We start from the raw sequence: 14,748 nt of genomic DNA, 5'->3' as shown, positions 1-14,748 counted from the left end.
CTCACCCACCTGCCACTCCCTCAAAGGAAGTGACCCTAACTTGGCATTCCCAGCAGGTGTTTGCTGAATCAACTGCTGACAAATTTTACTTCCTCCTGTGGGAGGTGGGCCAGGAGCCTTGGGGGATACAACTGCAAGAGGTCAGACGCTCGGTGGAGGAACATACTGACCCCTAACTGGGTAGAATGGACGTGCATACTGAGCTGAGGTCCAAGTGAGCTGGGAGGAGGGAGACGATGTTGCAGGCTGAACAACCAAGGGAAGCTCTCAGCACAGGACACACTGAACTGTGTCGGAGGAGAATGTAAGGAAACAGCTTTGTGCAGAGTGAAGAAAAAAGGCAAGGACAATGTCCCAAGAAGAAGTGAAGGGAAGAACTTCACAGATTATGTTGGACACCAGGAGCAGACCTCATTAGGCAGACAGGTGGGGCTTCAGGAAAGGAGAGAGGGAGATTGGTTGAGGGTACAAAAGAAATGACCACCTGTACTCAAGAGGCTTGGAATTCAGTGGAAGACAGGGCTCACAGCCATGAGCACATGGAGTCAAATGCAGAGGGTTCTGCCAAGGGAGTGGGCAGCACTGCAGACAGGCCATCCTAGAAGAGCCTTGAAACCAAAGCATTCTAGATTATTTTTGTTTTTCTGAGACGGAGTCTTGTTCTGTCACCCAAGCTGTAGTGCCATGGTGTGATCTCGGGTCACTGCAACCTCCGCCTCCCAGGTTCAAGCGATTCTCCAGCCTCCCAAGTAGCTGGGATTACAGGTGCATGCCACCATGACCAGCTAATTTTTTGTTCTTTCTTTTTTTTTAGTAGAGACAGGGTTTCACCATGTTGGCCAGGCTGGTCTCAAACTCCTAACCTCAAGTCATCCACCCGCCTCGGCTTCCCAAAGTGCTGGGATTACAGGCATGAGCCACCGCACCCAGCCTAGATTATTTTTTATTTTATTTATTTATTTATTTATTTATTTATTTGAGATGGAGTCTTGCTCTGTCACCCAGGTTGGAGTGCAGTGGTGCGATCTCGGCTCACTGCAAGCTCCGCCTCCCGGGTTCATGCCATTCTCCTGCCTCAGCCTCCTGAGTAGCTGGGACTACAGGCACCTGCCACCAGACCCAGCTAATTTTTTGTATTTTTAGTAGAGATAGGGTTTCACCTGCATTAGCCAGGATGGTCTTGATCTCCTGACCTCGTGATCTGCCCACCTCGGCCTCCCAATGTGCTAGGATTACAGGCGTGAGCCACCACGCCCGGCCTGATTATTTTTAATACAGAGTAAATGGATGATGTTCCCTTTTTACCAAACAAACAAGAATGGTAATGGAGCTGTTTCATCTGAATATATATCTGTCACCTGCACCTGGAATCGGCTGGGAACATTTCCTTTCCAGGGTCTTCCCCTGATCTGACATGTTTGGTCAGGGGTCCGTAGGCTGGCGGAAGTTACAAAGGGGCCATGGCAGGGCCTGGGGAATAGGGTAGGAGAGGAGTGGGCTTCCACTCTAGACCAAGTTGATGGATGTTAGGTTGAAATATAAAAGCAAATTTTCTGAACAACTCGTCCACAAATACCCAAAAACAGCCCTGGGAAAGCAAATGCCAAGAAAATGGCTGCAGGGCTTCACCAGGGCTGTAGCCCCTACTCAAGCCAGGGCTGAAGGAGGCCCAGAGAGGAGAAAGTCCTCATCTGTCTGACCCATCTTGGAGGCAACTGTAATCTGCCTCCCAGCACCCTCTGGTGGGCTCCTCTGTTACAGGTGGGACACAAGCTTTAGAGACATCCATCTGGCCACCAATGCTACTTATAGGCTGCGTGAACTTCCTCAGCTTCTTCATCCTTAAAATGGCCACCTCCCATTTACAGAGTAGAGATGAAGGTTAACCATCAGTCAACAAATATTTATTAAACAAGTGTTCCAGGGCAGTGTCTCACCAACGGTAATGTGCGTGTACATCACCTGGGAAAGTTGTAAGGTGTAGATTCTGATTCAGTGAGTTTGGGGAGGGCCCCTGCAAGCTCCTGGGTGGTGCACATGTGATCATCCTGCTTCCCCCCATCCCCCTACATGCACATACATCAGAGACATACATCAGAGGCTCAGCTTCCAGAGGGATGGGTCTGTACCCCATGTTTCTGGGAATGCCACCAAATATCAGGTATACCAGAGGAGCTCAGGAAATTGGTACTGGGGAAATGAAGAATCAAACAGGGGATTCTGACAGGCAGGGGAGGCTCTGTCCAGGGCCATAGGTGACTTGGGAGCAGCTGACCACAGAACAGGGCATTACTGAGCAACAGGTCAATATGATGACTTCTCTGCAGCCAGGAGCAGCTGAAGGCAGGACCAGGGAAGAGGTGATTCTTCTTCCAGAGCCTCCAGCAGGGCCCAGCCCACCTCCCAGGTGCTACCAAGAGGCCCTAAAATCCAGTCTCCTACTCCTGGCTGGACCTGGTCAGTCTGAGCACATGTGTGACTCAAATGTTAGGGGACCAGGAATGCTGGTGGCTGGGCACAGACCACCTGGACATGGAAACAATAGGTCTTTCCATGAAGTTGTCTTATTTTTCTATCTTAGTGGGGGAACATGTGGTTTTTCTATTGTTTCTAAGCAAATGTGACATGGACAATAACTCTTTTCCCCTCAGAGGAGGTGGAGGTTATGTACTCCCCCACACCTTATATACACAAATACGCATGTGATGTGTCTGCACTCTGGCTAAGGAAAACCCAAGACTGCTGCAACTGCCCCTTCACTCAGGCTCCCGGGTTGATGTCTAAAGCCTCCCCGGGAATCAGAAAGCATCTTTGGGTGTAACACACAGAGGCACATTTCAGAGGAAGGCAGGGCCTTTGTGAGTGACGCCTCACAGGGTCACAGTGCAAGTCCCTCTGCTCTGATGGGGAAAGAGGGTGAGGGGAATATGTTTTTATGTCTTTTGAGGGTGGGGGCGAAGAGACAGAGGGCCTGCTCCTGACTCCCCTAAAAAGAACAGCAGCTCCATGTTGGAACCGCTCCACACTGGGGCCCCCACAGAGCCTCCTAGCCTGACCAGCTCAGGCTCCCCTGTGACACACAGGCCCTGTCCTCCTCCTCCAGCCAGATGTGCCTGAGACCCAGACTGCCCACCCCCTGAGAGTACCAAACAGAACCACAGAGCAGACTCCTGTGAAAAATGGAGTCAAGCCATGGCCTAATAGTCTGCCAAGGAGTGCTGAGTGTGGGTCAGTCAGGCTCCTGCAGGCAGCCCAGCATCAAACGGAGCCCAAGACCGAGGGGCTGCCTGGGAAGGAGGACTCCAGTTCAAATACATGCTAACTGATGTCCTGAGTAAGCTGCTTCCTTTTTGTCAGCCTCAGTCTCCTCAACTGTAACATGAGGGCTTGGCCTGGATCACTTGATTCCTTTCATCCTAGGATTCTCAGCAACAGTATCACAAGCTCCAGCTGCCTGGGTTCAAATCCTGCCTCTGCCACTTCCTGTGAGATCCGCGCATGAGTCACCTCACTTCTTCCAACCTTAACTCCTCATCCGCGACATAGAATGAGGGGAACACCAGCTCAGAGGGTTACAGAGGGGGCTCAACGAGGGCCTACCTGGCATGGAGGGGGGCTGAATAAATATCAGCATTCTGTGAACTCTGTGGCCCCTGCTGCCACCACCCTCATGCTCACAGACGGAGTCAGGACCAATGACCAGCGTCCTCAGCCCCCGAAGGGTGTGGCCTCTACTCTGCATGGGAAGACCCACCGGATCCCCCAAACCCAGGCAGATCAACATCATGCACACCCTGGTGGCCACGTGCATGGTCTCAAGCACACACAGGGTCAGGCAAACCTCAGCATGCCGGGCAGCAGGCGTGGTCACTGCAGCAGGACAGGGAGGAGGACAGGCAGAGAGGAGGCAGGCAAAGGGGAGGCCATGTGCAGTCACTGGGGAACGGGAGCTAGCACAGCCTGAGACCAAGCAGCCCGCGCCGGCAGCGCCCGTCTCCTTACCTCCCCTGCAGGACCTCTGACCACCGGGACTGTGTTCCCCCAAGAAGCCGGAGGCATGCTGGAAAGAGGAGAGAGCAGGAGACAGGGGGCAATCCATCCTGAGCCAGGCTCAGGAGAAAGTCCCGGAAAGGAAGCCCGAGGAAGGGGGTTCCGCTCAGGGCGTCCATGGCTGAAGGGGTTTCTAAGAGACCCGAAAGACCCAAATGCCAAATGCAGATCACCCCCAAGACTGGCCTGTGCCAGAGGCGCAGAGCGGGGGATGAGAGAGCAAAGGACGAAGACCACCCACAGTGACCATCTTGCCAGGTTTCCTGGCATGGTGTGGACCCAACAGAAAAGGGATCCAAGGATCTTGGGTGGGCGAACCCCCTCAGAAGTCCCACCAGCCAGAGTCAAGGAGGGTGTGCCCTCCACAGATGTCACAGTCACTCCTCCTGGGACCCAGGGGAGACAGGGGAAACTGAGTGTGTGTTGCAGGGCCTTGGAGGACTCACACTCCAAGGCCAGAGTCAGAGCATGGAGGTTCTCATCCTGGCTCCACCATGTATCTGGGTAACTTTGGGCAAGTTATCCTCTCTGGGCCTCAGTTTCCCCACAAGATAGTGAGAATGTCCCTATCTATAATAGAGTGTGTCACATAGTCTACAAATGCCAGGCACCAAATGCCCACTGAGCCACAGGCATCTTTTCTAGACTTTTCTCTGGAGGTTGGTTTGTGCTGCACTAGGGAGACGATCAAACATCCAAGATTCCGGACAGCAGGCTGGGCAGAGGGGCTCCCGCAGCCAGGGATCCAGGGAAGAAGGAGCCTGAAGCACAAAGTTTGGGGTAGGATGACTTTAACATTGAACACATTTGGGGTCCAGTTAAATGGCACGATTCCCCCAGCTGGGCTGTCCACAGCCCCCTCATAAAATTCCTACATCACTGACCCATGTCCCTAAATCCCCTCCAGAGCACCCCTTGACCCTGGAAGGCTAAGAGCTCCTCCAGGAACTGGTTCTGACCTGTTCATCACTGGGTCTCAGCCCCTGCTCCCTGGGCCACTCACAGCAGGTGCCCGACAAATAACTGAGGAGTGGCAGACTCCTACAGCATCCAGCACCTGCTCTGGGGCCAGCGCCAGTCAGCAGAGCCAGCCTGCCAGTGAGAGGTCATACTTTGTAAACCTTTCTCAACCTTGCTACACAATTCTGCTGATGACTCTTGGTCATGGTAACCCTGGGAGGTCAGGTATTACAACCGTATCTTCCAAACAAGTAAACTGAGGCCAAAGGAGGTGAAGAGGTGATTGCCCAAGGGTACACAAAGTAGGGTAATTGTTGTTGACAGAGCCAGGGCGAGAATCTGAGTCTCCTAACGTCCCAGGCACCAGGCAATGTCAACATGGCCGGTTGCCACCGGCATCCACCTTAGACACCAGTGCCAGGGCATGGGCACTACCAGGGGTGAAGAATCTGGACACGAGCCCAGCAGGGCCCTGGGAGTCAGAGTGCAACGAGCTGCACACAGTGGAGGGGAGCCCAGGCTGGTGCCCACAGCTACCTTTGATGACAAAAGCCTCCGACAGCAGCCGCATCTGATACAGGGGCTTGTTCTCCATGGACATGTCATCAATCCCGGCCCGTGCGTACATGCTGATGGCATCTCGGTATGAGCCCTCCACGTAATGCAGTTTGCCCAGGATCAGCATGGCCTCACACATGTACTGTGGCTGAAATGACAAGGACATGTTACCAGCGCCTGCCCCAAAGTTACCTTGGGGTGAACACCCCCACTGAACCTGGACCTTGTTTGCCTCAGACCTTGCTCAGAACTCCCCTCCTCCTCCAGAAAGCCTTCTTTGATGCTCAAGCACATGCCGACAGCTCCCCGCTCTCACCCATGGTCTGCAGCCTACATTGTGGTTCTCAATAAAATTCTCCTATGAGTCCCTAATTGTTTCATGTGTGTGCGTTTTATGCCCCCAGCAAGACTCCAGAGACCTTGCAGACTAGGCCCTGTCTTCCCTCTCCTGAATCCCCCCAAAGACTGCAGCCCCAGGGGGCACTCAGAAGCTCAGGCATTTATTCTAAACACAAGTGGGGAGTCAGAGATGGAGTTAAGTTTTGTGGAGCCCCAGGCTTCTCATTTTGGGAGTCCTCTTGTGTACATGTATATGCAAATCATAATTAGGTGAAAGGCCTTAGAAACAGCCTGTGAGGACCCTAAAGCTTATGCCTCCCCCTACAGTGGCAGAGGGACAGATTGAGGAGGAGAGGGCCTGCTGCGTCACCATCCTCTTCCTATCAGAAATGGGTCAAAGTGCAGAATCACGGAGGCCAAGAGTGGCTGAATTTAAACGTGTTTTCTTTCCCCTCCTTTTTCAAAAGTTGCTTACATCTCAATCTCCATCCCACAGAGGAACTCTCAGGGCCTCCCTTAGGGCCTGCAGTGGTCTTGTCAGCCATGATCACCCCTACTGTGGCTTGGGATCCTGTGCTGTTGCCTGAGGGAGGCTGTGCTGGCCCTGGGCTGTGCCACCCTGGCACGTGAGTTCTGACCTTGGACATGGCCCCAGTTCTCCTTGTAACCTCCCGCCTCTGCAGGCCATTTGCTCTGGCCCCCTGCCTCTGATCCTGTCCTCAGCTGGCTCACAATGCCTATGGGCCAGGCCCTGGGCACTGCTCCCGCCACACAGGCACCAATCTGTCCATAAAACTCCCCGAAGATGCAGCTCTCATCCCACACCTGGCATTTGTCACTGGCAGGAAGGTGCTACCCCTGTCTCCCTGTAGGGAGGTAAGAGTCTGGGGTCCCTGTGACCCCAGGGCAAGCCTCCAGCACTCCTTACCATCTACTGCCCTCTCAGAAGCCAAGAGAAATGAAGCGTGGCACAGACAGGCTCTGGGGAAGCCAAATTCACCTTCCCAACTGGTCCTTCTGGCCTTTGTAAATCCACATTCCTCTTTTGCCTGTGCTTCCTCAGGTCCCCTTCCCCCTGGCCTAACCAGGTCCTCTTCTATCCTTTGGGGCCTTGCTCAGGCCCACCTTCTCCTGAAAGCCTCCTTGACTACCAGGGAGCTCCCTTCAGCTGAACTCCTCCAATGCCTCTACCAATGGGCCCATTCAGCCTCTGCACGCCTGACCTGCTCTCTCTATTAATTAACTCTCCAAAGCTGAATCTTTTGAGGGGATTTGCTAGTCTTCCCAGATAGGCCATCCACTCCCTGGGCCAGGGCCACAGATGACACATCCCAGAGGTATGTGGCCCACAGTCCTTCCAAGCTGGGCAGTGACTCTGCGTTCCCTGCACTGGTCTCAAGCCACGGGCTCATTTCCTCCCTGCTCGGGCTGCGTCTTCCTCGTGGGTGAGGGAGAGATAATAACACCTACTCCTCACTGCCTATCACAGCGATGCTGAAGGCATTAATAGGGCAAAGTCCAGAAAAGAGCTTTGAACTTTTCTTTGGAAAAGAGCAAGATAAATACAGGGTATGCGTATTTATCATTATCCTGCACATGGAGACAAGGGCAGTGAGGCAGAGAAGGACATTTCAGGCATGCTGATGGGGTGTGGCTAGTGGCGGTTCCTGGAGGACCAGTGGCAGTTTACAACAGAGCTTCCACCAAGCTGGGGAAAAATTAGACAATGCAGGGCATGTTTTATAAAGCCACATTTACACTATTTAAAAAAATGCTCGGCCGGGTACGGTGGCTCACGCCTGTAATCCCAGCACTTTGGGAGGTCGAGGCAGGCAGATCACCTAAGATCAGGAATTTGAGACCAGCCTGGACAACATGGTAAAACCCGTCTCTACTAAAAATACAAAAATTATCCGGGCGTGGTGGTGGGCGCCTGTAATCCTAGCTACTTGGGAGGCTGAGGCAGAAGAATCGCTTGAACCCGGGAGGCGGAGGTTGCAGTGAGCCAAGATCGTGCCACTGTACTCCAGCCTGGGTGACAGAGCGAGACTCCGTTGTCTCAAAAAAAAAAAAAAAAAAAAGGCTCTTAGTTCTGAAAGGATATCTACCTTGCCCTTTCAATGCTAAACTGTTTTTCTGTTATAGCACAGTAAGAGCAGAAGATGGTATCATTTTGCTGCTATTTTTTGCTTCTTAATGTCCTTACTTGGCAACATTAAGAGTCCACTGCACTCTGTGGGGCCCATGCATTTGAATGTGAAATATTCTTGGTCTATCAGTACAACAGTCAGGGAACGGAACCCCTTGCCCAGTGGGAGGGTGCCACGGGGGAGGTCGCTTTACCAGAGGAACAATCCCCTCTACTGTGTGGATCAGCGCATCACCTACTCCTTTTGTGCCTCACTGTCCCTGTCAATAAAAGGGGAAAAAGGACTTCATGGAGATATCCAGGTATGAGGAAAGAACGGATGAGGAAATACTTCACAGACTAACGTGGGAACTATAAAAGTGGGGGTGTGATCACCATCTTTCACATGAATCCAACTTTCCCAGTCATTATTTTATTTCCACCCCAGTACTCTGGGAGGCAGTACCAAGAAATGAGAGACAGCATTAGAGCATGGGCTGTAGACACTAAAGGCCTGGGTTGTGATCACCTTTCTTGGGTCTCAAGAGATGGAGCTTGGCAGGGCACAGTGGCTCACACCTGTAATCCCAGCACTTTGGGAGACCAAGGCAAGAGGATCGCTTGAAACCCAGAATCTGAGACCAGCCTGAGAAACACAGTAAGAACTGTGTCTCTACAAAAAATTGAAAAAAAAAAAAAAGAAAGAAAGAAAGAAAAAGAAATGGGGCTAATAGTAAATACCGTTGCAGAAGGTTCCTTGGAGGCCTGCATGCGATGGTGCAAAGCCTCAACCTAGTAGCAGAACAGAGTTTAGGACAAGTGGCTTGTTTTCACTGATCTCCACACAACTGAGCTGGACGGGGTCTTAGAGAGATAACCAAGAGGAAAGGGTTTCAAGCTTTCCCAAGGAGGGGCCTCAGGACCCACCTCTCCCAGCTCTCCTTCTCATCCAGCAGAGCTACTTGGATGCACAGGAATCCACCTGAGACTGCATCAGCTGCCAAGAAAGGTCACGCCAACTGTGACCTGATCTTTGCGGGTGAGATAGAAAATACTACAAATGATGGCCGGGCATGGTGGCTCACGCCTGTAATCCTAGCACTTTGGGAGGCACAGGTGACAGGACTGCTTGATCCCAGGAGTTTAAGACCAGCCTGAGCAATATGACAAGACTTTGTCTCTACAAAAAAATTTAAAAATTAGCTGGGTGTGGTGGTGCATGCCTATAGTCCCAGCTACTCAGGAGGCTGAAGCAGGATGATCACTTGAGCCCAGGAGGTCCAGTCTGCAGTGAGCCATGTTCACGCCACTGCACTCCAGCCTGGGTGACAGAGTGAGACCCTGTCTCAAAAAAGAATCCCACAAACGACATTTAATATATTATTTTACAGATCATCATTAAGTTTTTGGCTCTGGCCTGGATAACAGTAAATTTCTGCACATTATTGGTGCCTATATATGTCTTTGTTTAACAAAATATGGTACAATTTGTATTTAATAAAACCGTTGTCACAATACATGTGGTTACTATTCAGCCAATACAAAGAATGAGACAATACTGGCATGGAGAAAGCTCTAAATAAAACTTCTTGGTGAAAAATATATATCTTACAACTCTATGAAAAGAAATATCTGTGTGTATATATGTTTGTAAATGCACAAAGAAAGGCATAGGAGATGCACATCAAATACTGACCAGTGCTCAACTCTGAGGATGGGTGTGGGCATGAGGGTGAGGTTGGAAAACAAGAACTTTTTTTGTGTGTGTGAGACAGGATCTTGCTCTGTCACCCAGGCTGGAGTGCAGTGGCATGAACACAACTCACTGCAGCCCCAACCTCCTAGGCTCAAGTGACCCTCCAGCCGCAGCTTCTTGGGTAGCTGGGACCACAGGTGCAAGCCACCACGCCTAGCTAATTAAAAAAATTTTCTGTAGAGATGGGGTCTCACCATGTTGCCCAGTCTGATCTCAAACTTCTGGCTCAAGCAATCCTCCCACCTTAGCCTCCCAAAGTGCTAAGACTACAGGCGTGAGCCATAGGCCAGCTGGGACTTTTATTTATCACTCAAATTACTTATTTGTTGACTGGAATTTTTACAATAAGGCTGAATCATGTTTATTTTAAAAACAATTTTTAAATATTTAATTTAACATTTAATTATTAATTTAATATTTTTAAAACGAAAAGCGGTCTTGGTGGGAAAAGCTTGAACCCCACCAATCTGGTCCAACCCTTTTGACCAGCAGATGAGAAACTGGAAGGTCTGTGGGGTCAAGCATGCTCAGGGTCAGGCAGCTATTTTAACCCAATACAAACCTCCCAGTGCTACAATACCTGTCAAGGAGCCTAAAAGCAGTAACCTTAAACTTCTAGTACACACTCCCCTCTCCCCTGGCCTTTCCCTCCCTTACAAAATAAGCCCTGCACATCCTGGCCTGGTGTTCCAGTCTGCCCTTACTAGCCCCAAAGTACCTTTACAACCTTGTCTAGATCCAGCCCCAGAAGGATCCAATTCTAGTACTGCCATTACTCAGAGTCTGCTCTCTGCTTATCCCCAAAGAGCATCCCCCTCAGACTTGCTTCCTCGTGGATAGCACTCCTATCACGGTCTACCTTGGAGGAAGGCTATTTACTTGCTGATAGGACTTATCTTCCCAAGAGACCTGCAACCTCCTTGAGGGCAGGGTCCATGCTGGATTCGTCTTGATTGCCTTCAGAGTGCACAACACAATGCCTTGCACACAGTACGTTGGAATAAAAGGTTTAAGGAAGTGAATATATTACTTTGGAATAGCTCTTTAAAAATCAGCTGGGCGCAGTGCCTCACTCCTGTAATCCCAACGCTTCGGGAGGCTGAAGTAGGAGGATCGCTTGAGCCCAGGAGTTGGAGACCAGCCTGAGTAACACAGCGAGACCCTGAAGAAAATAAAGACAGACAGAAAGACAGAAAGAAAGAGAGAGACAGAGGGGAAGGAAGCAAGGAAGGAAGGGAGGGAGGGAGGGATCACTTCCTCTTTGAGTTTTTTTTTACCCCCTCCCCCTCCTCTTTTGAGTTTCTAATGACATACCCATGCCACTATTATAGTTCAGGATACATTGTAATCTAACACAGCCACAGCCTCAAACTTGGATGCACATATGAATCACCCAGGAGAGCTTGTTAAAACACAGATTCTAATTCTTAATTGCATTTCTTTTTTTTTTTCTCTTAATTGCATTTCTAACCAGCTCCCCAATGATGCCTACACTGCTGGTGGGTGGACCACATTTTGAGCAGCAAAGTCCAGAGAAAGTTGTGACCATACTCCTTCTGGGAGGGAGAGGTGGGTCCTCTACCTCCCTCAGTGTCTTGTACTCAGTAGGTGCTTGATAAATACACGTGGACTTAAATGGGCTTGCCCTGTTATGGAGCTCTTCTGTCCCTAGCCAACTCTGCATGTTTGCCTGTTTCTAACTAGGTCACAGGTTCACTGAGGTTTTATTTTCCTGAGAGCCCCCTGACCCAAGGAGCCCAAAGGGCCAGGCACATATTAAGTCAACCAAGCACTGTCCAAAAAAATATGATGTAAGCCACAAATGTGAACCACATGTGTAATTTAAAAATTTCTACTAAGATTTTTTTTAGTCACACTGAAAAAGGTAAAAGGTGAAATTAATTTTAATAACATGTTTTATTTAACCCAATATATCCAAAATATACCATCTGAACATGTAATCAACATAAAAAGTTACTGCTCTTTTCTATTCTTTGTTTTGTACTAAGTCTTTGAAACCTTGTGTATGCTTTATACTTACAGCACATCTCAATGTGGACTAGCCATACTCCAAGTGCTCAAGGGGCCATGTGCAGCCAGTGGCTACTGTAAGTGCAAGGGCAGCTTGTAAGAGAGACTTGTTGCTCAGGTGACCAAATGACTCAGGGAGGACTGGACAGATGCGAGGCAAGACAGACGAGGAGAGGAGGTCTCAGGCTTGAAGGCTGACGACTTACCGAGAGCCTCCCATGGTTAAGGATACTGCTTAGATAATTTTTGGCTTCGCTCATCTTCGGCTCATTCTTCTCCAGCAAAGGCATGGAGTCTTTTATTTTGGCATGGTTCTCCTTCAAACACTGCTCCAGGAGGGCCTCAGCCAGCAGCAATTTCCCAAAGTCATCTGAAAAGCAAAGTAGGGGTCAGAGCAGCAAACCCCGAACAAGGCGGATAATGGAGGGAGTTGCACACTCCTGGACCCACCCAACCACCCATACCCAGTACATGAATGGCTCAGGTCTGAGAAAATAAAGGCACATTTTTCATAAATTTCAACAGCCTTTAAAGAAAAGACACAGGCATTCTACTATGGTCACAATACAAATTGCCCCTTGGATTTATTTTCTGCTGTAGTTTAATGGTTGGGAAGACAGAGTTCCCAGGACTCGGGGACAAATTCCCAGAATTTCAGAATTTAAAATAAGGGACAAAGTCATACATATGCTGTGCTGTGGATAATAAGTTCTTAAACCAAGAAGAATTCTCCCCAAATGATTGAAGAGAAAAAATACATGAAGTGGTTTAATAATGTACTTTTACATGCTCCTAATTTCTATGTAACCATAATTGGTTTTCCCCATTTTTAAGTGTTTTTGTTTGTTTGTTTGTTTTAAACAGAGTCTCACTCTGCCACCCTAGCTGGAGTGCACTGGCATGATCATGGCACTCCCAGGCTCAAGTGACCCTCCTGACTCAGCCTCCCAAAGTGCTGGGATTACAGGCATCAGCCACCATACCATCCAGTTTTTAAGGTAATTTGACATGACTCAGGATAACCTAGCAGCCACAGTAGAGTTAGGTGGGAAGCAGATCTACTTGTTGCCAAGGCAAATCCTCGAACATGTTGAATACCTGCATTTTCTGGAGTTCTCTCACATATAGGGTATACCCGCAAATGAGGGTAGCTCATTTGCATCCCTCACCACCTGGTAGGTGGTTTTATACTGCTTGGTTTAGTGAGCGCAGTGGCTCACACCTGTAATCCCAGCACTTTGGGAGCCCAAGGCAGGCAGATCACTTGAGGTCAGGAGTTTGAGACCAGCCTGGCCAACATGGCAAAACTCTGTCTCCACTAAAAATGCAAAAATTAGCCAGGCATGATGATGGGCACCTGTAATCCCAGCTACTCGGGAAGCTGAGGCAGAACTGCCTGAATTCGGGAGACGGAGGTTGCAGTGAGCCGAGATCACACCACTGCACTCCAGCCTGGGCAACAAAGTGAGATTCTGTCTCAAAAAATAAAAATAAAGATAATATACTGCTTGGTTTATTTGCTGCCTCCCTTTACCACACTGAAAACTCGTCTTGTGACCACCAGATTCCTGCTACCTACAGCAGAGGTGGCTCGAGCATGGGAGCCGGGTGTTCAGTGTGCAGGGTCTGAGGTCAAGATGGTTTCACCATGGTTCTTGGGTGGCTGTGCTCATTGCCCCTCCCAGCAACTGGGGTGAGGAGCAGGCCCACCATTCAATATAAGCACTGAGTAAATACCTGTTGAGTGAATTGGATCCTCTCAACTACCCCACAGCGAAGCCATCAGGATCGAGAGTTAAGTGCCAATCCAAAAACATCCCTAGGAATGCCTGCTTGGTGCCATCTTTTTCAAAGTGCTCTTTTTGCTACCAGTACAGTGTTCTCAGATCTACAGGGCTGCCATTGCCTCCTCACTCTCAGGATACCACAGTCTGCTAACATCTCATAGCCACTAGTCCAAAACTGCATGCCTTAGCTGGGCACAGTAGTGCAAGCCTGTAGTCCCAGCTTCTTGGGAGGCTGAGGTGGAAGAATTGCTCAAGCCCAGGAGTTCAAGACCAGCCTGGGCAACATAGGGAGACCTCGTCTTTAGAAAAACACAAAAAACTTCATGCCTCTGAAGAAGAATCTCTCACCGTAAGGGAGATTCCCCACAGAGAACGGTTCTAAAGCCCAGAATCCCAAGAACACCATCGCAGGGGGGTTTCGTTCTGAAGGCACCTGTTATGGGATCCTTTGCTATGTACCTCATGACTTTTAAAATTAACATTTTAAGGAAATGGTCAAAAAAGTACCTGGTTCAAACTATCATTCATTGCTGGCAGACTATAAGTTGGTAGAACCTCTAGGGTAATTTGGCAACGTACATCAAAATTATTTTTGAACATCCCCATAGATCCAGTCAGTCAGAGCCACATTCCAGAGCTGTGGGCCTTGGGGAAAGTTGCTCCCTGCTTCTAACCTGCTTTGCCTCTGTAAAGCCAGGGGTGGGGTTTGAAGTCAGAGCCTAAAGAGGGAAACACACCCCTCAGGATGCTGGCCCCGTCCCCCAGCTGGTCCCCGCCTTGTTGCCCCCTTTCCTCTGTGCACTGGCAGGACTCCGTGCCCTTGGGCCACCGTGCCACCAGATACGGCACCATCAGTGGCCATCCCGTGCACTCTGCCATCCACCTGCCCGGACCAGAGCTCCTCGCTTGGTTGAGCTGTTTGGTTGGGTACTTTCATGCCAAGAGAAACCAGCTTCCTCCCCAGAGCACGCCCCTTTGGACCCAGGCTGCTCCAAGTGCGGCTGGCCATGGCCTGCGGGTCTCTCCATGCTTGTGATCCAATACCAAGGAGATGAGTGCAGAAACTTAAAAGTACACCTTAGAAATCTGACAGAGTAATTTTAAATCTGTTGAAATCTAATACTAAAAAATTGGGAGGT

At 49.8% G+C, this 14,748-nt stretch overlaps 1 protein-coding gene across 15 annotated transcripts in view, besides 2 other annotated features; it reads right to left on the bottom strand.

Annotated features, from left to right (window-relative positions):
• Positions 1-14,748, bottom strand: part of TTC7A (tetratricopeptide repeat domain 7A) — a 160,258-nt gene that overhangs the window by 113,569 nt on the left and 31,941 nt on the right. For 14 of the 15 annotated variants that reach the window (XR_007078570.1, NM_001288953.2, XM_047445148.1 and 11 more), the window contains 2 exons: positions 12,029-12,192; positions 5,548-5,716 (listed from right to left, as the gene is read on the bottom strand). Coding sequence is in view for 13 of the 15 variants with exons in the window: in NM_001288953.2 (NP_001275882.1) it covers positions 5,548-5,716; positions 12,029-12,192 (333 nt within the window). In the remaining 2 variants the exon portion in view is untranslated. Of the gene's footprint in view, positions 1-4,002; positions 4,061-5,547; positions 5,717-12,028; positions 12,193-14,748 lie in introns of those variants that run through there. The other variant, XM_047445145.1, reaches the window with a different exon arrangement.
• Positions 5,032-5,531: an enhancer, noted in NCBI's record as "H3K4me1 hESC enhancer chr2:47184163-47184662 (GRCh37/hg19 assembly coordinates)". NCBI's record gives its function as "activates a minimal SCP1, AML or CMV promoter by ChIP-STARR-seq in naive H9 embryonic stem cells {active_cell/tissue: H9 hESC(naive)}" and the evidence as "EXISTENCE:reporter gene assay evidence [ECO:0000049][PMID:30033119]".
• Positions 7,131-7,425: a silencer, noted in NCBI's record as "tiled region #4700; K562 Repressive DNase matched - State 5:Enh". NCBI's record gives its function as "represses a minimal TATA promoter and a strong SV40 promoter by Sharpr-MPRA in K562 cells {active_cell/tissue: K562}" and the evidence as "EXISTENCE:reporter gene assay evidence [ECO:0000049][PMID:27701403]".

The sequence above is a fragment of the Homo sapiens genome, chromosome 2 (assembly GCF_000001405.40).
Source record: "Homo sapiens chromosome 2, GRCh38.p14 Primary Assembly".
Taxonomy (NCBI): domain Eukaryota; kingdom Metazoa; phylum Chordata; class Mammalia; order Primates; family Hominidae; genus Homo; species Homo sapiens.
This window is presented reverse-complemented; position numbering and strand designations above follow the sequence as displayed.